General features: G+C 40.0%; 1 protein-coding gene and 1 long non-coding RNA gene across 14 annotated transcripts in view; one reads left to right on the top strand and one right to left on the bottom strand.

Annotated features, from left to right (window-relative positions):
* The window catches only part of GRIK1 (glutamate ionotropic receptor kainate type subunit 1), a 403064-nt gene that overhangs the window by 175772 nt on the left and 203472 nt on the right, over positions 1-23820 (top strand). The gene's annotated exons all lie outside the window — the stretch shown is intronic.
* On the bottom strand, positions 219-16050 carry GRIK1-AS1 (GRIK1 antisense RNA 1). Its single transcript, NR_027021.1, has 5 exons — positions 15925-16050; positions 15080-15391; positions 5215-5394; positions 4160-4205; positions 219-647 (listed from the first exon to the last, which is right to left on the bottom strand). It is a non-coding gene; the product is annotated as a GRIK1 antisense RNA 1 (long non-coding RNA).

The following is a 23820-nucleotide window of genomic DNA, read 5'->3' as shown; positions in this document are numbered from 1 at the left end:
TCCCCATCCTACCAACTTGTGAAAAAATAGGAGTCCAAGTGTCTTGTTCTTCCAGTTTCCAGGCACCCAATGTGGTCCTCTCAATAAGTCTCTGCATCATCTTCAGTCTCTGACTGAGCTCCCAGCAGTTCCATGTTTTCCCCCATTCTATCCTCCCTCCAATTATGTTTCCGAATGTGTACACATCTGCTTAAGAAAGCAAAAGAATCTAAAAGTAATTGGTGTCTTTCTTGGAAAATTAACTCATTTATTTAACCAGCATTTTATTCAGTACTTGGATGTGTCCAGGAAATACATGAGCTTTGGAACATCTCTTTCTGAATCAGCAGCTTCCACACTGAGAGAGTATGCCAGAGTGAAACCTAGCAACTGCCAGGAACTAAATTTAAATCAAATTGTGTATAACTTAATCACAAGATTACGTGTTATATTTCCTCAATTGTATTAACAACAGTCATTCTAAGGCAATGTTTCACTGTCACGGGAGGCTGGAGCCCAGCATGCCCTCCTGTTCCAGTTTCCTTATTCTTGCCTTGGTTTGGGAGCTCGGAATCTCGATCACCTGAAGACCACTCTACTGGAGCATCAGGAGCATATTTGGCTCTTGTTCTATCATCAGAGTCAGCCACCCTCCTGGCTCTGATACCCTAAGGGCAGGAGAAAGGGAAGGACAAAAGTCAAAAGACAGGACCATGATGTAAACTCTAATACTAACCCCAGCCCACCCACTCCTCAAATAATTTGACCACCATTGGACAGAGCTGCAATACACTGAAGGCTTTATGCCTTCTTGTGACGCTTAGTCCCTGTATTAGTCCATTTTCATGTAAAGAATGCCTGAATGGGGTAATTTATGAAGAAAAGAGGTTTAATGAACTCACAATTTCATATGGCTGGGGAAGCCTCAGGAAACTTACAATCATGGCAGAAGGCAAAGGGGAAGCAGGCATCTTCTTCACAGGGGAGCAGGAAGGAGAATGAAAGCTGGAGGAACTACCAAACACTTATAAAACCATCAGATCTTGTGAAAACTCCTGCATTATCATGAGAACAGCATGGGGGAACCACCCCCATGATCCAGTCACTTCCCACCAGATCCCTCCCTCAACACATGGAGATTACAATTCAAGATGAGATTTAGGTGGGGACACAGAGTCAAACCATATCAGTCCCCTTAGCAGACAGAAACCTGGCACTACTTTGGAGGAGAAAAGCTGGCTTACTTTCAGAAGGCAAATTTCAAGCTAGAAACCTGGAGGAATGGGAGAAGAATCTGGCTTTACATCGTTTTCTCATTAATCAGAATCTTAGGACTTCAGAAGATAATCTCAGCTGTCTGTGTGACATATCCAGTATTTCATTTCAAGTACTACATTGAACACGTTGACAGGAATTTATTCATTTTGAAATGTAAACAAATGACACCTAAAGAAAATTAGGGCTGGCTGGTTTGATGAGAAAAGCATGACTCTGCAGTCTAAAGGTGACTTTGTAGAGGCTCCCAATTTGAATACAGGGTGGTCCTGTCCTCCTGGTGCTACAGCTCTAGAATTCTTAATGCACAGACAGAAGTTGCCAAAAGTGAGTGAAGAGAAACTCACATATTGTCTTCTTTTCTCTTGTATAATCAAAGAAATGCAAGCATGAGCCCCTGAAAAGTTATTTACCTCTTTTCCTATTATAGTTGGAATTCTAGTGAAATTAGAATAGCAATTATCACTTAAATAGCTGTAATAATTGAAGACTAGGATGAATAAGTTGTAAGTGGCCTGCTTACCTTCAAATGTAATTCCTCACAATTTGCAGAATGAGACAGTGAACCTAGTGTTTCCTTTATGATAAATTAATCATTTTAAAAATGAGAGAAAATGCTATGATTTTAAAACTTAGCATGTCTTATTTTTAAGTTAGTGTTTCAGGTGATCTCAGAATGTTATTCATAATGGCACCTTACGATGATGATGCCTTCCTGGAAAGACATGCAGACTGACATTTAGATCAGTCATTTCCAAAGACAGAATATCTGTTAACTAGAGAAATCCTGTCCCCTGAACTAGGATAGAGCATTGCATGAAGGAAACTGTGAACATTGAAAATCTCCAAGTTTCAAAAATTGCCATGTGGAAAAAATACTGTACTGCACAGCTTTACTTTATTTTGTGCGATAGAAACGTTTCTTGCCAGGTGCAGTGGCTCATGCCTGTAATCCCAGCACTTGGGAGGCCAAGGCAGGTGGATCACCTGAGGTAGGGAGTTCAAGACCAGCCTGGCCAACAGGGTGAAACCCTGTCTCTACTAAAAATACAAAAAATTAGCCAGGCATGGTAGTGGGCACCTGTAATCCCAGCTACTCAGGAGGCTGAGGCAGAGAATTGCTTGAACCTGGGAGGTGGAGGTTGCAGTGAGCTGAGATCACGCCATTTCACTCCAGCCTGGGCAACAAGAGCTAAACTGTGAGAAAAAAAAAAAAAGAACGAAAGAAAGAGAAAGAAGGAAGGAAGGAAAGAAAGAGAGAAAGAAAAGAAGAGAAGAAAGAAAGAAACATTTTTAAAATTCTAACTGTAATTGTAAAGGCATAAATAGAATCTGATTTAAAAGACTTAATTGAATTTCACACACAGTGAATCCTTGTGAAATATAAGAACTTTTTCTAAAAAATATTTATCTTAATATATAGCATGATTTGCTTTTTTTTCATTTCAGAATTGGTTTTCTTGTTGAAAGTTATACAGTAATATTCGATCTTTTCTTCAACATATTAATTAGATTTCTACTTAAGCTAAATGGCAGGACTGTTTTCAGTACCTCAAAGAGAGCAAGGGTATTTTGCTGCATTCACTTTCTGGAACTCTGCTGCACTTGGCCTGTGGTCTTTCTGTCAAGCTGGTTGTGATAGCAAGGGATGCTGAATGCGTTCATGAGTTCGAGAACCTGGGTTCTGAGCTGGAAGTCCACATCAGAGCGTGCGCTAAGTGCAAGTGCAATGAGTCAGAAGCTAATGAAAAGGGTCCAAAGTGTGCAGGCAACAGGGGCACTGTGGCTCCTAGGGGCATTTGCCAGCTTGGCAAAGTGCTTATCGGAGAAATGAGGAGTTTCTGACAACTTGGGCTAGTCACAGGCTTCATGGTGAAACTTATTATCATCAACAGCAAGCCCACAATAGATTACCGAGGACAGGGTATTGCCCTTGTGATCAGCAAGTATCACACAGGAAAGGTAAATGTTGTTGTAAAACTAAAAAAGTAAGCCCACAAAATTTTGGAAATTCTTCCTTTGCAGTCCCCAAACATAATCCTTTGGAATCTGTCTGGAAAGTCTTTTCCATCTGAATTACTAAAAGCCCTTCTAAGAGAAATTTGAATCTTGGCGTTGTATGAGCTGTGAATCACTGACAGACATCTACAGATCTACAGAGGTACAGTTTTCTGTCTGTGCTTATATCTACAGCTTTAACTGTATAAAGTGACTCAATCTAAGCCACTAGCTCTTGAGACACCTCTGCAAGATCGTGTATAAACAAGACCTACTAGAATTACTCTCAATGACTTTCAAATTCGGTACTGTTTTATTGTAGAAAGCTGTTACAGAGAATTAAAATCTCCGAGGCATCTTCGCATACCACGGTGCCACCCATGGAGTGATGATTGCTCTTAAAGGCTAATTTGATTATGTGCCACCATTAATGGTGAAATGGGAACGTTTGAAAACACTGTTAGATTCCAGTACAACAATTTCCCTCCCTACCCGCCAAGCTTACTTGTATTTAAGTTGCAGAAAACATCCAGTGTTTCTTATTTAAAGGCCTGGCACTCTCTTGGCTTATATGTTGAGGCACATGCCTGAGTCACACTTTGTGTCTGATGTGCAATGAGGTCCCCTTGGAAATTGCCACCTTTACTCTCTTGCCACTTTGTCTCCACCAATGAGGGTTTCCCAGCCCAGCGCATATACTCTGACGACCAGGCCACAAACAAGAGCATGTTGGAGGTGAAAAGAGGATGAGGCTCTAGAACAGTGTCAGACATTTGCAACACTGTATATGCTTAGAATAGGCAGTCAACATGTTAGGAAGAAACAGGTAAGGCTTTGGAGTCAGAAAAACCGGATTCAAATCTCCCACAGGCCAATCACTTAATTTCTTAGGTCTCAGATTTCTCACCTATAAACAGAAGAACAAATCTTTCTCATAAAGGAAGCTGTAAGAACTGGAACAGAAACAGAATAAAGATTATTATGGACAACCAATAAATGGTAGCAATCTTTATTACTATCATTACAGAAAGGTTTGTACAGCTGCTCAAAATTATGGTTTGGGGCTCATTGAAATTAGAAAATTCTGTAGAGAAAATGTCCTTATTGAGATAGCCTAGGACAAACCAATCTTAGCATCTATCACTGCCTACCTTCCAGGGAGGAGTAGACAGCAGAGGGAAGAGAGATCAGCTTTGTATAATGGACAAATCAAAGATAAACCAGATAGAGCTAACGAAATGCATTCTACCTAAAATTAAACCCAATATTCTATAACTCTCTACTAATGTTACAGTGTCTACATTGTCTTCCTTTGTTCTGGTTTCTGACTTCTGTTCTCCCTCTCCACATCTTCCTTCCATTCTCTTTCTGATCATGTCTATGCATCTGTCAAGTTTATCTGCTGATAGTATAATCTATGATTCCAAAGACTTAAGAAGGATGTAAATAAATACTGCTGTGCCAGGCACTATATTCACCAGGTGTTTCATATAAATTAGTTTAACTAACCCTAACAACAACCTTGAAAACATAGCATTAGAAAATAAGGGAACTGGGCAGGGCGTGGTGTCTCACGCCTGTAATCCCAGCACTTTAGGAGGCCGAGGCGGGCGGATCACGAGATCAGGAGACTTGAGACCATCCTGGCTAACATGGTGAAACCCCGTCTCTACTAAAAATACAAAAAATTAGCCGGGCATGGTGGCGGGTGCCTGTAGTCCCAGCTACTCGGGAGGCTGAGGCAGGAGAATGGCGTGAACCTGGGAGGTGGAGCTTACAGTGAGCCAAGATTGTGTCACTGCACTCTGGTCTGGGGGCAGAGTGAGACTCAATCTCAAAAAAAAAAGAAAAGAAAAAGAAAAGAAAAGAAGGGAACTGAAGCTGTTTTCCAATTAAGAAGATTTCTGAAGGTCTCACAGAGGGGAGCTTCTGAAGCCAGAAACTTAATCGGGACTTACCTACCTCCTGTGCAGTGCTGGTGCTGAGTGACTCGCTTAGCTGAAACCCCTAAATTAGAGCTCCATGCTTTGTTTTGTTCTGTGTCCTGGTTGTTTCTCTGAGCTCCTTGTGCATCCAGAGACAGCAGATCAAAGGCATCCCTTTTGCTGCATCCTCCATAGCTCTGAGACAGGCCTGAAGAACCTGAAGAGAATGTTGGACTAGAAGAGGGTCCATTATCTCACTAAACGCACACTAATGACCTAAAAAGAGGCTTTGAGATTATCCTTTCATAATTTTGCTCAGTGTTCTAGGACTATGTAAGCAAATACAGGCTTCTTTGACTGGAAGTAAATTAGTCTAATGATGTTTTGTGGCAATCCCTTCCAACAACGTCAAAATAATCTGTTTGTCATGACTTGACCTTATTTTGTTATAATCCCTGTGATATGGTTTGGCTGTGTGCCCACCCAAATCTCATCTTGAATTGCAACTCCCATAATTCCCATATGTCGGGGGAGGGACCCAATGGAGGTAATTGAATTTTGGGGGCAGGTCTTTCCCGTGCTGTTCTCATGATAGTAAGTCTCATAAGAGCTGATGGTTTTATAAAGGGGAGTTCCTCTATACAAGCTCTCTTACCCACCACCATGGAAGACGTGACTTTGCTCCTCATTCACCTTCTGCCATGGTTGTGAGGGCTCCCCATCCATGTGGAACTGTGAGTCCATTAAACCTCTTTTCTTTATAAATTACCCAGTCTCGAGTATGTCTTTATTAACAGCGCGAGAACAGACTAACACACCCTGTGGCAGAGACTTGATGTTATTTCCCAAATCTTAGTTTGTTTTCCTCTTTGGCATGCAATGAGACTATATTTCACGGTTTTCCTTGCATTTAGGTGGGCATGGATGACTAAATTCTGGCCAATGGAATGTGGCTCCAGTAGCTGAAAGGTGGAAGATCTCTAACATGGAACATGCTACCCCTTCCCACCTTCATGACCTTCACTGTTCTCTGATTAGAGCAAAAGATAAATTTCTATTATCTCAAGCTAAGATCTGAGAAATACTTGTCATAGATAGCCTACGCTGTCTAATGCAATCTATTTCAAGAATATAAAGCAGCATCCCTCAACTGGGAGTAATTTTGCCAATTAGGGATATGGAAATGTCTGGACACACTTAAGATTACAACTGAGGAAGGGGTAGTATTGGCATTAATGGGTAGAGGCCAGGAATGTTGCTAAAAATTCAAAAACATAGGACTGTCTTCCACAGTATAAAATTTTTCAACCCAAAATATCATTAATGCAGAAGTTGAAAAACCCTGCTTAAAGTTAAGTCCTCTGGGGGAAAAATTGATTATCTGGTACACACTCGATAAGCTCTTGATTGACTGGCTTCTTTGAGAAAGAACTTAAAAAAATAATGCTATCCTCATGCCGACAATCTTTTAAGCAGGTATTTATTAGGAAAAAATTTAGTCATAGAAGAAGTCACTGTTTGTGTTTCAAATTTTCTATATATAGGAAATTGTGCTAGTTAATTAAATTGGCAGATTTAGTAAAACAAACATCTTTTATTCACAGAAGTAGTGTAGTTTACTTAATTGATGCACTTAAATCTGGAGGTTGGCCATTATAATATTAGCACTATGTGAGAAATATGTATGCTGTTTACCAAAATAGTTAATCTGAGAAGTTGAAGGAAACCTTCTACCCTGATTTTGGAGCTCCTGCTTTGTCTGCAGGGATTTACCAATTAGAACAATGTATGTGATGGGAATTGAAATGAGGCCACCAACCCCTTTTAAATGTGATATTGGAACAGTCCCTGGTTGGGAAATATACATTTCAGTCACTGGTTCGCATTTCTTTTTTTTTAAATTTTTTAATTTATTTTTATTTTTTATATTGAGATGGAGTCTCAATCTTGTTGCCCAGGCTGGAGTGCAATGGTGCGATCTTGGCTCACTGCAACCTCTGCCTCCCAGGTTCAAGCAAGTCTCCTGCCTCAGCCTTCCAAGTAGCTGGGATTACAGGCACCTGCCACCACACCCAGCTAATTTTTTGTATGTTTTTAGTAGAGATGGGGTTTCACCATGTTGGCCAGGCTGGTCTGCAATTCCTGAGCTCAGACGATCCGCCCACCTCGGCCTCCCAAAGTGCTGGGATTACAGGTGTGAGCCACCGCGCCCGGCCACTGGTTTGTATTTCAAGTGGCAAACTAAAACGAACAAATATGATAGAATTTTCTAGTTTATTTTTTTTATTTTTTTAAACTGTTGTGTTTCATGTCTTTGCTAATCATTTCTAGTTTTTTTTGTTTTTTTGTTTTTTGTTTTTTGTTTTTAATAGTAAGGATTTCCTCTGTCTTGAATGCCAGGAAACAAGTTATTTCCATCCTGGTATTCATTGGATATTTGTAAGATCTTTATTCTTTTGTGGGATCAGGGAGAGGATGGGCACCCAGGCGTGAACCTGAGAAATTTCTACTGGGTTTTTCTGGAGCTCCTCACTGTAACGTGGCATTGTCCCCAAGGCCAGCTCTTCTTCCATGTGATTTTGCTACTCACACACGCAGCAATTACCATGTGGCATTAGCTGACCGTGCTGGGCGCAGCATTATTATTGTCATTATTTTTTCTTTTTTGAGATGGAGTCTCGCTCTGTTGCCCAGGCTGGAGTGCAGTGGCACCATCTCGGCTCACTGCAAGCTCTGCCTCCCCGGTTCACGCCATTCTCCTGCCTCAGCCTCCCGAGTAGCTGGGGCTGCAGGCGCCCGCCACTACACCACACAAATTTTTTGTATTTTTAGTAGAGACGGGGTTTCACCGTGTTAGCCAGGTTGAACTCGATCTCCTGACTTTGTGATCCGCCCGCCTCGGCCTCCCAAAGTGCTGGGATTACAGGCGTGAGCCACCGCGCCCGGCCCGTTTATTTTAAATATCACATCCTCGTAATAAAAATTTCCCTCAATGTTCTTTGAGGCATCCACTTAAATAACTCAAAAATGTTTTTTGCATTCTTTAAGAGGTTTTTATAAGCCAGACAACCTTAATAACCATGGCCTCAATCACAGACAGTAAAAATATGCTTTGCATTTCTCTTCTAACCCTAATACCTAAGCCAGCTCCTGGTAAAATGTTATCCGAACCTTTTTACTCAATTCATGACAGGTTTTTGGGATATATTCTACTTTCCAGGCACTGAGTTAAATTCTGGAGACCAGAAGACCAAGACGTTGTCCCTACACTGACATTTTATCTAATAGTCCTGTTTTCAGATTCCTTGCCCTAAGCTCTTCCTATTTTTTGATTTCTCTCCTCCAGTTCTCATTCCATATCAGAGGGCTCCTGTGGATGCTCCATGCTCTACGGGATTGCACTCTTCCACCTGCCTCCCATCTCTCCATGTAAAGAGGCACCCAAAGGAGCTTCCACTCTATTGACTCTCTGGAGCGATGTTTTGCGGTGGCCGCTATGACTTTACCACATTCCAGGACAAGCAATTTAAACCTCATGCCTCAGATCCCCCACCTGGAATGTGAGAATGATAGTGGTATTCACCTGTTAGGGTTACCATGAAGATGAAATAAGTGAATGCCTGTTAGTTAACTATTAAGAACAGTGCCTGGCACATGATAAATGGTGTTCCATGTTGATGTTGATGCTGATGTTCTCATCCCTAAGTTCTCCCTTTCCCTTTTCAGCCAGGGCAATTAATCTGCCTTATGCCTGATTTCCTCAAGGCTAGGCTTTCTAAGTGTGGGATGATCATGCTTCAAATAAATGAATCCATATTAATATACTAACAGGAAAAGACTTGAGAACTTCCAGGCACACTTTCTTTCTCCTCTAGTTTAAAGGAGGTGAGCAGAAGACAAATATTTGTTTTTATCCATCACTACAATCTGATAGAAATATAGAATTTGTGTATTCAAATATGAACCCTCAAATTTGGATTATACAGAAAATAACATTTTAAGATTCTTACTTGTATTAGTCAGCATTCCATGAAAGAAACATATAACCAAGATAGATAGATAATAGCTAGCTAGGTAGCTAGCTAGATAGATTTAGATATATAGATAGAGTACAAAGAATTGGCCTACATGACTGTGGAGACTAGATAAGTCTGAAATCGATAGGGCAGGCCATTAAAAAAGAGAGAATGGAGACTCCCAGGCTGAAGCTGATGCTGCAGTCCACAGGGAGAATTTCCTGTCCCCCAGGTAAACCTCAGTTCTACCTTTACATCCTTTCAACTGGTTGAATCAGGCCCACCCAGATTATGGAAAATAATCTGCTTTACTGAAAGTGAACAGATTGCAGATGCTAACAAGGTCTACAAAATACCTTGCCAGCAACACCCAGGTTAGTGCTTAATTGAATGACTGGGTACTGTCGCCTGGTCAAGTTGACACATTGAAATGACAATCACACCCCTCTGTGTCAGATGTGTGATTTTGTATTTATTCCTCACAGAAATCCCAGGGCGAGGATTACTCCTCATTTCGTAAGTGAGGAAATTATGCTTTCATGATCTGAAATACTGTGTAACTCAACTAAATAGTAGGAACCAGGATTTGAACACGTGATTATTTGGCTCTAAAACCTGTTTTACATGCATTTTCTATAGGAAGTTTAGTTTTTCCTTCCATATTCTTGATCTCCTGCTTGGGACCTCAGTCTTTGTAGGCATGACGCATATGTGTAAGCATCGATCTCCAAGTACATAAAGCCACCCACACATGAGTTATTTTGGACTTTCCTATTGTTGTATTTATTTATTTTTCTGTTTAACTTCATTAGTATGGAAAAATCCAAGTTCACTAACTGCATTTGTTCCAGCTGTAATCTGTCTTCATTGCTGATTGGTATTTTACTATGCAGGAGAGGTTAGAATATTTTACTATGCAGAGTAATTTACACACAGAGTTGTCACCGTATCAAAGCCAAGTTTCAAACACCCAAGACTGGTCCGCATACTGCAGTTTTGGTAATGAGTCTGCCTGCCTAGTAAAGGATACCTAACTTTGAAGGATTTTTCTCCTTAAGAAAAAGGATCCCAATACCTCTTACTGGATCATAGAGATTTCCATATGTTCAGATCCAGGTAGTTTTGCTCAACGTACATATGATCTACATAACTATATATTATATATATATTATACAAGGGCACAGAACATCCAATAATCCAATTGCACACACCATTACCTCTTCTGAGGCACACAGACTTTTCCCTTAGATCTTCATACTGTTTACCTAAAAATATTTCATACACCTGTACATGAAATCAAAGACTGCTTTCTTTAATAAAGCAAAGGGATGATTTTAAAGGTAACTTTTAAAAATAGCCTGCCAGTATCTGCTTTTATACTCTAGAACAGAGTGAGTGATTTGTTTTCTGTTTCTTGTTCCCATTTCTCTTTCTTGCCCTAAAGGGAGTTGGTAAAATTTTCTGTGGTTTCACAGGGACAATTTTATGGTAGCTAACAGTAATATGAAGCCCATCTATGCCAGAGGGCTTTGCTACACTGGCCCCATCTGCGGAGAGTCCAACATTGATTCTGTCACAGGCTTCTGTCTTGAGCATCCAATTTGCCTCTAAGATATTTCAGCGTGTGGAGAGTTGTTTTCTTGACAGGCAGCCAAGGAAGCCAAGTATGTGATTCATTTTCCCAGAGAGAAAAAGAAAATCTTCCCATTAATTACCTCTCACCTATTTGTACAATGCAGATGAAGGGTTTGTTTCTCAATCAAATTATATTTTATTATACATGAAGAAGAGACTATCCTTTGTTTCATCGCACTAGATAATTTATTTTATAAAATTGTTATTAACTATTAATAATTGTTATTACACAGTGGGCCAATATTCTTTTCCACTAAACATGGATGAAGTAAGACAGCTTGCAAACTCAAAACACACACACATGCATGCATGCACTCACCAGAAAAAGAGCTCTTGCCTCTGGCATGATATCATCTGACAAGAGCATAGGGTGCTGTGCATATTATTTTTCAGGTTCTCCAAATAGGAACTAGAGCAGCCTGTCATATCAAATCTGAACTTGTCCAGCATTTCTAAGCAGAGTCCTCCACTCCCACCTTCTCCAATCATTTAAGAAATCTCCTTTCCTGGTACTGTTCAATAACAGATGCACTACTTACATATACTTTTTATTTTTTTGGAGGCAGGGCCTCACTCTGTCATCCAAAGTTGGAGTGCAGTGGCACGATCCTAGTTCACTGTAGCCTTGAACTCCTGGGCTCAAGGAATCTTCCTGCCTCGGCCTCCCAAGAAGTTGGCACTACAGGCACATGCCACCACACTCACTAATTTTTTATTTTTTTAATTTTTTTTTGTAGAGATATGAGTCTCACTATGTTACTCAGGCTGGTCTCAAACTCCTGGCCTCCAGTGATCCTCCCACCTCGGCCTCTCAAAATGTTGATATTACAGGTGTGAGCCACTGTGCCTGGCCATATTTTTTCTTTGAATTTACTTTGTACAATATTGTTAAGCTCCTTTTTCTGGCCATTTGGTCTCATCCAAGAAATAGTAAGCTTCTTGCAAAGAAGAAGCAGACGTTCTCTTTTGAGTATTTTCACACATCCTTCATGCTCACAGCATATAATCAAAGAATACAATTTTTTGTAAGACCTCAACAAAATTAAGTTCCTTGTTCTTATAGTTAAATTAGGGGGAAGTGACTGAACAGGAAAGCTACTGTTAAGGATATCATTCCTGGACCAAGTGCTTAGACACATACTAATGAAAGCAAGTCCCAGCCCATTCTAGCTCTGACCTTATCTCATGGAAGTTACCAAATCACTATCTACAGAAGCGTTAAAAGTCCAAGGAGATCAAAAGTATATAAGAGCTGTTTCAGAAAAACCAGCATCTTCTTGAACCAGAGGGAAACTTTGGAGACGTCATGAATTTCTCAGAAGAGCCCTAGCTCTAGAGACTATTATCTCTTGCCAGTACTAAAAAGGCTTAGCATTTTAATTCAGATTTTCTATACTGAGACAACATATGCTAACCATATTTGGAAGCAATTAAAATGGTGACACCCACTGCCATGCGCACATGTCCTCATTAACTTTGTGAATGTGTTACAGGCAGGTAGGAAAGACAGCTAGCGTCTCGAAAGAAAACCCCCGTAAGTGGAATTGGAATGGCAAATAATGGGAACAATCATAATGCAAATGTACATTAGAAGGTCATTAACAAACTGGTCAGATTACTTGCAACCTATGTAAAAATCAGATGTACCAGTACCCACCAGGACATATGCAGATTCCCTCCCATTGTAGTAAAAACCATCTTGAGTGTAACAGATTGACTGGGTGTGTCAGGCTGAGAGGCATTAGCAAAGCTGCTGTGTGCATGGAAGAAATAAAGAAGGACTTATGGAGCATGCAATTGCAAGTTCTCCCTGGGCCCAGGACTACATCATTAAGAGATGGCTCCATAATAACACACGCTCACTCCCCATTCCCATCCACAGAAATAAAGTCATGGTAAACCTTTAGCAGCAAGAGCAACCTTGAAGGGGAAAAGTGGACCAAGAGGCAGCTAAAGGAAGGTGATCTGGAAAAAAGGTCCAGTGCCACCATTATTACCAGATGAAAGGGAGGTAAGCTAAGGACAGAAATGTGCAAAAGGCTGCAGTAGGGGTGGTGTGAGGCAGCTTTCTTGCCAACTAATCTTATTTAAAACCTATCTATCTTATTTGATATATCTTATTAGGTATATCAAATAAGATATATCAAATATAATCAAATGTTGTATCTGTCAGGCCTCTGAGCCCAAGCTAAGCCATCATATCCCCTGTGACCTGCACGTATACATCCAGATGGCCTGAAGTAACTGAAGAATCACAAAAGAAGTGAAAATGGCTGGTCCATGCCTTAGCTGATGACATTACCTTGTGAAATTCCTTCTCCTGGCTCATCCTGGCTCAAAAGGTCCCCCACTGAGCACCTTGTGACCCCTGTCCCTGCCTGCCAGCGAACAACCCCCTTTGACTGTAATTTTCCACTATCCACCCAAATCTTATAAAACGGCCCCACCCCTATCTCCCTTCGCTGACTCTTTTCGGACTCAGTCCGCCTGCACCCAGGTGATTAAAAAGCTTTATTGCTCACACAAAGCCTGTTTGGTGGTCTCTTCACACGGACGAGAGTGAAAATATCAAACCTATCTTATTAGATACATCAATTTGATATCTAATAATATATCAAACCTCTCTTATTTGATATATCAGTATCACAGGTTTTCTTTTTTCTTCTGAGAATCTATAAGAGAGCCTGACTCTTCAACGGTCTCCAAATTTTGCTTCTCTCAATTCTTCTCTCTCCTTCTCTCCTCTATTGACCCTCATCAGAAAATCAAGGAGAGATTGGACCATACTGCTTGGCGTCCTACCTTTACAAGAAAATCTGCCTCAGCAATCAGTAGTTCAAGACAAATGTGGTGCCACATTTTGTCTATACACCCCTGCTAGGTCCCCAAATGTCAGCGTGATTCTGAGTCTCAAATCTTTGTAGTTCCAGGTAAAATTGCTACATCTTTTCTCCCTACCAGATGCCTCCTGTCGTCACTGTTGACCCAGAGCTCTGGCTCAGGGTGATGTTTCTACCCTGTGGTTGGCTTGTCTTTCCTTTAGAATGCATCCAGAGTTGGAGTTGGCAAATGTAGAGTAGGTACATATTCAGAAAGAAAGCAAGACAGCAAGGAAGGAAGGAATAAAGGAATGAGGGAGGGAGGGAGGGAGGGAGGGAGGAAGGGAAGGAAGGGAGGGAGAGAAGGAAGGGAGAGAAGGAACTAAAAATAGGGTGACTAGTTTAGGTATGATTGTACATATTTTAATTGCCGCAAAAAGATGCTTCCCTCTCCTCAATTAATTCTTCTACCCTGATTCCTCATTGTATATGAAATGCCATCATTAAAAAAATAGTTTGTTGGTTCTTGTCCCTACAACTAATACTACTAATACTCTTCTATAACAACTACTACTAATATTCATGAAATATATAAATAAATAAAAATAAATAGTAAAAATAATAAAGACTTCACAATTTAGATTACGTACTTTTGATATTAAATAGAAATTTACACTTTTCATAAACAGACTGTCTTTTTAACTTCATTGCAATATGCGGACTAGGTTTTATTATACAGATAAGAAATTGAGACTCAGAGGAGTTAAATAATTTAATGAAATTCACACAGATAATAAATTTTATAGTTGAAATATATAAGCAGTTCTTCTGACTTTAAAATATGATCCTTCCCACCCCCATATATCAAGTTGCATGTTTTTGCTTGCTGCCTTTTAAAAAGTAGAAATAATCCTCGGTCAAATGCTGCACATGAATTCACATTAAAGTGTCTGCACTCTCCTGCTGATAAAGACCCAAATGTGGCAGAAATGGTACAGAAGAGGAGGCAGCTTGGGATTTGGCAGTCTTGTGAAGATTCAGCCATGGCTATAAACAAGGGTATGTGGAATCCAATGGGAGCCTTCTTAACTACCACATCCCAAAGAAGTAACAGAGAGCTCAAGCCCTTCAGCCCATTTCACAGATGGAGATGCTGAGGCCAAGGCTATTAGACACGTCCACTATGCTACGTTAGATCGGTGACAAAGCTGATTCTCCTGACTTCCAGTCTAGTGAGCTTTCTATCATCCAGTCCTGTCCCTATGTGATCAGCTGCATAAATTCTGAGTAAAACAACTGACTATATTGTTCAATATCCACTGTAACATGCAACTTGCTCATCAGAAAGTTAAGGCTAACTTTTTCCCCAACAGGAAAGTCAGAAACAAATCATTTTTAGTAATAATGAAGCTCTGTTAGAAGTACCACTCACCTTAAAAATATGTTTAGGAATTATTAATATACTCTCAGCATTCTGATTTTCCTGGCTTTCTGAAGCTAAGATGTTGCAGGAGAGCCTTCGTGGCTTTGATCACAGGCAATCAAAGAGGACTTTGTGTAGCTTCCAGGGACACGCTGTTGCTGGAAAAGTCGGAGCTCTGCTATGCAAAAGAAACTGCTACAGAAATCCCCTTCATTCTTAACTCCAGATCGAATTAGGATCAGAAGGCTCTTGTTCGCTGCCCAGGAGTCTGTGGTTTTAATTTTCTTATCTGCATTTTTCTTTCCTGCCCGTTCCAGGTAGCTGTCACAAAAAATATGAAAAGGGTGTTAATTTGTTGATCGTTCTTTGCTGCTTCTCACTTTCATGTTTACAGCAAGGAGAAGAGCAATTGTTTCTACCAGTAGCTTTAGTATTTTGAGTTCTCATGTGTGTAATAACTATCTTGGTAGGCCCAGAACACACAATCTCATCCAATTTTGAAATTTGGATTTTATGCCAGATGGATTATTTCAGTACGGATTACAAATGCTTATACTATTCTGCCTAGCAGAGTTTGGGTCATAAAAATCATTAAATGTAAAACATTGCACAAAGTTGCCCAAATTGTCATGTCTCTGGCCAAATTTGTGGAAATAAAAGGAGCCATGCATTTGGGTTATTTCTACAGTTTGGAAACTTTGACTCTTATCTTCTCTTAAGCTACTCAGGAAATTTCCAGACTCTAAAATCTGAGAGGAATTGTTCAGACAGACAAAGGTGGTCCAGAATGGAGACTTTCCTGATGCCAAGGATGGCAGGACCCGTGAGTGTCCACTTCACCCCTGTGATCCTACCTCTCGTGAGGCTTTACTGATGACCTTGGCTTCCTCTTTGATGAAACTTTTGGTGGCTGAGCCTCTTGAAACTGACTTGGACAAGCTTGGACAAACAACCTTCTTTTGAATCAACAGAGTGTAACTGAAATACCGTTGGAAAATTCAAACAATACTCTGATTAATGCCAGGGAGAAACAATATGTAAATAAACCCAAGAACTTAAATGAATACTTAAGAAACATACACCTTGCTTTCACAGTGTTAGCTGGAACTCAGGAAAGGGGTGTTGGAAAAAGTGGAGGTGGCATGTCTCTTTTATTTTATTGTTTGAGATGAAACGGGATTAAGCATGTTTAAATTCTAAGGGAGAAAAAGGTTGCTGTAAATTGTGACTTTAAAAAGACTGACATTAAATCACAGAATATTTCTTCAGTGGGCTACTGAAATTTATGTCTGTAATCACTACTCATGCTTTCTATTCTTTTTTCTTTGAGATGGAGTCATGCTCTGTCGCCAGGCTGAAGTGCAGTGGTGCAATCTCTGCTCACTGCCAGCTCTGCCTCCCAGGTTCAAGCGATTCTCCTGCCTCAGCCTCCCGAGTAGCTGGAACTACAGGCACGTGCCACCACGCCCAGCTAATTTTTGTATTTTTAGTAGAGACGGGGTTTCACCATATTGGCCAGGATGGTCTCGATCTCCTGACCTCGTGATCCACCTGCCTCAGCCTACCAAAGTGCTGGGATTATAGGTGTGAGCCACCCGGCCTGGCCCATGCTTTCTATTCTTTCTTCAACAACTGATACTATCTTTCTTCAACCAACTGATACTTTCTGCCTTCGCCTCTTCTCAGGGTCTGCCTTGTTTACCTTAACCCCTGCAGGAAGCCAGATCACAATTGGAGATTTCCTTCCTGATCATGTAAAGAGAACACAACAAGGATTTGGGAGATTAATCTGATGTGTAAGAGCTAGACATATCCTACTCAAAAGGATGCTCTTACTCCCTAGCCAGGACCATGCATAAATGGCATGCCCATATTGCTCTGAGACTTTCTTTTCCCTTATCTTCCCATGGCTGTGCAGACATCAGTTGAGACTATATTCTTTCTTAGTACTCTAATACATTCAGGCAGGTTACAATCAAGTCTTGCAGTCCTGGGAGCTCTTTTGTCTATTTAAGGTAACTGTGATTCTCTACTTTTATTTATTATTTGTTTGGCTCATAGTTTAGCTCTCAGGGAACAATTTTATTTTCATTATTCCTAAGTTCTTGGGAGACACCTTATGGTATCCAACAAAGACTAACAACACCATGCAGCAGTGCAAATTCACTCTAAGTAAACCGATGAAAAATAGACCTTTAATCTGATTGAGGTGTAGAAAATGGCTACCTAAAAGTGATACTTTTTCCTTTTGATTATTTTGTATGGCAGTACCTTGAGTAGGGAAAAAATGTTTTCTTTTTCTCTGTGTGTAAAAATCACCAAAAGTTACTTTGAACATCAAAAGAACACCACTTTAAATTGCATTTCTGGTTGTTCCCTTCAATTGGCAATTCTCTGGTTTATATTTGTGTGTCATCTCTTTTAATGTCCTCTCTAAACCTGTTGCTCAATGATTCATTAAAATTGATAACACCCTACTTCAGATCAGCCAAGTCCTTTCACTTGAACTTTTTCTCATAGTCACTTTACAATTACAATCATTGAGTAAAATCTTAACTCTCTTGAGTGAACATTTATGATTTTCTGAATTAGCCGGAATGATATCAATACATGTGTTAGTGTGCACATGTGTGTAGACAGAGAAAATGAGAGAGAAAGAAACAGGGAGACCACTGAAGGAAGGTTATCCTCTGTATTTTATTCCCACAGTTCTTTGTTCAAATTGTGATTAAATCACTTATCAGATCATGCAATGATGTCACTATCTGTATTTGTCCTTGCCCTTACACTGTTTTACCCAGCTTTGTGTTTCAAGGGCTTGGCACATAGGCAGAAATTTCAAAGTTGTTTAACAAATGTTTGATAAAGTAATTAATTTCAAATCAGGGCCCAAGTGTGGTACCCAATCCATGTTCTAGTGTAGAGAGATGTTAAAATTAACCATGCAACCTAACATAACAGTCAGCACACAGAAGTGCAAAATAGTTCCAAGAATAATTGTGCTATGTGTAGCTCTTCTCTTTTCTCGATTTTTATTTTTTTTTTATTTTTGAAACGGAGTCCCGCTCTGTCACCCAGGCTGGAGTGCAGTGGCGCGATCTTGGCTCACTGCAAGCTCTGCCTCCCAGGTTCATGCCATTCTCCTGCCTCAGCCTCCCGAGTAGCTGGGACTACAGGCGCCCGCCACCACACCTGGCTAATTTTTTTGTATTTTTAGTAGAGAAGGGGTTTCACTGTGTTAGCCAGGATGGTCTCGATCTCCTGACCTCGTGATCCCCCCGCCTTGGCCTCCCAAAATGCTGGGATTACAGGCATGAGCCACCATGCCCGGACTCTCTTTTCTCAATTTTAAGAAATACAAAGTTTAAAAATGTTGCTTTGATTGGCTAATTTACCATACAATATTTTGTGTTTCATGGACCCACTTTTCATTTCATAACTGTCAAGGACGCACAAAATACCAGATTCAGGCTAAATGCCAGGAATTAAAGTCAGAACAAGTTTGAAATGAAAATAATAATAATAATTGGTAAGTAACCAGGCAGCATGACATAAGTATTCATTGAGGGAATCAGAGGCCCTGGATTTTAACCCTGTACTCTTTCTACCTGTGGGATCTAAGTCAAGTGTATTAGTTGTCTATTGCTAGCAATCTATTGCTAAGTTATCTATCAGTTACCCAAAGTTATCTGCCTTTTCTCCAAAATGCAGCAGCTTAATACAACACAAATTTATTATCTCACAGTTTCTGAGTGAGGAATCTGGGCATAGCTTAACTGAGCCCTCTTTCTTGAGGTCTCTCACAAAGCTACAATCATACACAAGAGTAAAGTCTCATCTGCAGTTTCAACAGCAGAGGCATCTACTTCTGAGTTTACTCGTGCAGTTGTTGACAGTATTCAAGTCTTGAGGATCGTTGGACTGAGGATCTCGGTTGCAGTTAGCCAGAGGGCACCCCCAGTCCCTTGCCATATGAGCCTTTCCAACATACTCTCTTGTTTTATCAAAGGGTACAAGCTCAGAAAGCATTAGAGAGACTCTGCCACCAAGATACATGTCACAGTCCTCTATAATCAAATCACAGAAGTGACATTTAACCACTTTCTCTGTATTCTGTTGTCTAGGAGAAAGTTACTAGCCCCACTTTCAAGGGAAGGGGACTACACAAGACTGTGAATGCCAGAAGGTGGGGATCATTGGAGGCCACCCTAAAGACTGCCCGTCACAACAAGTGACTACGTTTCTCTAAGCCGACTTTCCTCTTCTGTAAAATACAGGTCAAAGTGTCTCCTACCTCATGGGATTGATGTGGAAATCAAATAGTACATTTAAGCCCTGAGCATATAGTGAGTGCTCAGTAAATGTTAGGCATCATTAGGTAATTACAACACACCACAAAATGTCCTATGCTGTCCTTATCCCAAGGACTATAGGAGTACATGGAAAGAACAGATAACAAGATCTTGAAAAATATAGACCAAATTTTCAGAACAAGTGAAGTCTATCCTGAGACCTGAATGAAGGAGAGCTGTAATCAGATGAAGAATAAGAAGCAAGACAATAGAATTCCAGGGAGGAAAAAAAAAAAAAAACCTAGCTGAGAGAGAGCAGTAGTGCCAGCTAGCTTGACAACTAGGAAGGATTTCTTGCCCCCTCTCCTCAGAATGTCTGCTTTGAAAAGTGGAACAAAGACAGAAGTGATGTTGGAGGTGTGCAAATGTGCATATGCATGCGTCAACTCCACCACAAGGACACATGGTACACAGGACTCCACCTGATGGAAGTTGGTTGGCCTTTAATAAATACAGAAATCTCTAGAGAGTGGGAAAGAGAAGGATGAAAGTGGGAAAAGGAGTCAGAATTGTCATCTCTAGATGAAAAAGTTTTCTAAGTTTCCAGGGATGCCTCCTCTGGGAGTGAGATGCCACCTGGCTCCCAGCTCCTCTCAACCAGTAGGTCCCTGGACCAGGAAGAGGCAGACCCCCAGAAGAACTCCCTTGGCTCATCCATCCTCAAGAATTTTATTTTTATAACTTATAACTTATGTACACGAATTTCTATTTTTTTAACTTCTATTTTAAGTTCAGGGGTACAAGTGCAGGTTGATTACATAGGTAAACTTGTGTCATGGGGGTTTGTTGTACAGATTATTTCATCACCCAGGTGGTAAGCCTAGTACCCATTAGTTATTCTTCTTGATCTTCTCCCTTCTACCACCCTCTGTCCAGTGAAAGGTCCCAGTGTGTGTTATTCCTCAAGAATTTTATGACACCGTTTAAATTTCCCAATTCTAACACTGGCCAAATTTGATATTAGCCTGAAATTCATTTCATAGCTTCCATATTTTGAGGTAATTATATTAATTTTCACTTGATTTATGTTTTCCTTTGAATCACTGATACATTTAGATTGCTCAAAATAAAACAAAATATTATTTCTTTTATATATATATTTTTTTCTGAGATGGAGTCTCACTCTATCACCCACGCTAGAGTGCAGTGGCTCCATCTCAGCTCACTGCAACATTTGCCTCCCGGGTTCAAGTGATTCTCCTACCTCAGCCTCCAGAGTAGCTAGGACTACAGGTGCATGCTACCACGCCCAGCTAATTTTGTATTTTTAGTACAGACGGAGTTTCACTATGTTGGCCAGGCTAGTCTCGAACTCCTAACCTCAGGTGATCCACCTGCCTAGGCCTCCCAAAGTGCTGGGATTACAGGAGTGAGCCACTGTGCCCAGCCTAAATATTATTTTAAAGTACACGCTGAAGAGCCACTTTCCCACTCCCATGTCTGTCCACCCTCTTCCAAAGCATAAATGGTAACCACTTTAACTTCTCTCCAACTTTTTTCTTTGATTTTCTCCCAACATTTTATTTTGAAATTTTTTAAAGCATGAGAAAAGTTGCAAGAATTCTATAAACACCCATATGCCCTTCAGTGAGCCATCACTTGACACCATTCTGCCACATTTGCTTCATCTCTCTCTGTATGTATACATTTACATGTATTTATTTGGGAGTTAGGTACAGAAATTCTGATACTTTACCCCTATGATTGAATCCTCCTAAAGAAACATGCAGAAATATCTAAGAACACCTTGAAAAAAAAAAAGAAGTGAGGAAGGGACTAGCCCCATCCAGCGTGAAACCATCCTGTAAAGGCTCTATAATTAAAACAGTGATACTAGAGCATACCTAGACAGACATACCAGAGAAACAGCATAGAATACGCAGAAACAGACTCAAGCCTGTTTGTGGAAATTTAGAAGCAATTAAGGTGCCATCTCAAAGCAATGAGAAAAAAATGTTCTTTTTAATAAATGGTGTGGAGGAAACTGGATAGCTATTTGGAAAAATGTAACCTCAGATTCACTATGTTCATAAAATACACTCCAAATGTGCAAAACATGAAACCATACAAGTACTAGAAGAAACCGTGAGTAAATTTCTTTAGAATCTAAGTTCAAGAAAATCCAAGTACAATTTCAAAAACTGATAAATTTGACTGTATACATGATTTTAAAACATCACATGGCAAAAAATAAAATGTGTACAAGAAATTCATCCATGAAACCACTTTTAGTCCATATGTTTACTGAACCACGCAGTGAGGTTTATTATTCAGCATTGATTAATGTTCCGTGAGTTCAGACGGAGCTAGGCTCTTTTCTCTGAGATTGCCTTTAAAGATGGGTTGAGTGACTCAGTAATATACAGTGTTGTTCTGGGTCCAGGAAATGGATGTTGTACTTGAAGGATCTGCTCACTTTGTCTCCAATCCAAGTATTTAACATCCTTCTATGTTTGTGTGGTTCTCTCTCTTTCTACTTAATTTTGCATTTAATGTATTTCTAATAAAAACATGAGACTCAATTAAAGACACTCAGTTTGAGTTTGGAAGCATCAGAAGACAGAAATGCTTTTTTTTCTGATTCCTTTTGAACAACAGAAATAAATTGAACTCAATCATGTTTGCATGAATGATTCTATTTTTGTTTAAGGAAATCTTGCATCCAAAGACTTTGCAGAATTAGATAAATTCCTTGTCAGAGTTTTGCAACTAATTTATTTTTATTTGAAGGCATATGGTTAAGAGTCTTTCCTTGACAAAATACCATGAAATTAATTTTGATGTATCACTGTAAATGAGGCCATTGTACCTTCTCCATGATTAAATATTCACAAACATCACCCAGAGCTTTCAAAAGGACTCTGTTTCCTTCTCTCAGCAAAGGCCTGGCAAGTAACAACAGTCCATTTCCTAGTGATGAGTAAATGCAAGAAAATATGTAAAGATCCAAGAATTTGTCAAATGAAACAACGGCAATCAATTTTCTACCACTCGACCTGTGGAAACATGTAAAGTCCCCAATGAGATTTTACACTATAAACATAACTGTTGGATAACTTAAAATATGGCAGTTTAATAAAAATGGTCATGTTCCAACAGATCATTCAACCAGCAAGCTCTGAAACCTTCTATATATAAATTCATATATCAAGATGTATCCTTCAAGAAATATGTGTCTTCTAGTAGGAATGTAGGCTGTTGAAATTTAAATAAGTTATTTTTTATCAATATGATTTTGAAATGGTTCTAGAATTCCAAAGGTAGAAATAGGAAAGTCTGTTTTCTTTATTGCAATTTTTAAAAATTTGCTTCTTGGCTGATAAGATACTAAATAGCAGCTACATTCACAATGATTTCAGAAATGCCCCCCACCATCACCCACATTTACTCACAGTTTGTTCCCTTTTAAAATGTGACGATTGCTGTTTTGCAGTGACAAAAAAAATGTATTGATGTTCTAATTTAAAAAAAACATAAATTAACCTGTCAATGATTGAACATCATTAAAAGAGCTGATCAATATAATAAAAATCAGGTCTCCAGTTTCAAGTCATGGCATGAGAGAGCCATTTAATGTCCTAGGAACTCAATTGCCTAAATTGTGCAGAGCAAAGTTTTAAAAGGTTGCAAATTGTCTTAAGGACAAGAAAAGCACCAGAAAGGATAGTTTGGAGGAACATTGAGTAAGCCTTCCAAGAAGGCCCTGGCAAAGGGGCAATGGAAGAGACTGGGATTAACCAGGTGTCTGAGGATTGAGTACACATCGCCCTGGTAGTACAGAAAGGCTTTCTGAGAGAAACAAGAGCAGTAAGGTGTTTAAGGGAGTTGGTTTCTACATCTTCAGCTTCCGTAGTCATCTTCCCTAAAATCTATCTTCTTGAGAAAGTAGAATATTTCAGCTATCTACTTGGTGAATTGCCCTTCCCTCCCTTAGCAAAGAAAAGGCCAACCTCTCAACCCCCTGAGTCGTCTGCAGTGCCTTGTCACGGGTATAATGACTCCCCTGTGATTGGTAACCATGGTTCCCATGTAACAAATCTTTTAGCAGGTTGAGCACTTTCAAATATTTTCCTATCAAACATTAAAGGAGTAACTAATTGAATTGGCTAATAGATTGTTAAAGATACTCTTTGATGACAGTTTGCTGTTTGATTTTGGCATGTGGCACTGAAGAGTTTCAAAGACATTGCTCTGGCAGAAGTCTCTCCATTCCCACCTCCTTATTTCTCTGAACAAGATTTCTGAGCTGCCTCATGGGGTGGTTGTGAGGATTTCAGTTAATTAATAGGCCAGGCACGATGGCTCACGCCTGAAATCCCAGCACTTTGGGAGACCGAGGCGGGCAGATCATGAGGTCAGGAGATTGAGACCATCCTGGCCACCATGGTGAAACCCCAT

This window comes from Homo sapiens, chromosome 21 (genome assembly GCF_000001405.40).
Source record: "Homo sapiens chromosome 21, GRCh38.p14 Primary Assembly".
Taxonomy (NCBI): Eukaryota; Metazoa; Chordata; class Mammalia; order Primates; family Hominidae; genus Homo; species Homo sapiens.
The sequence above is the reverse complement of the archived record's forward strand: the minus strand, read 5'-3'. Positions and strand labels throughout refer to the sequence as shown.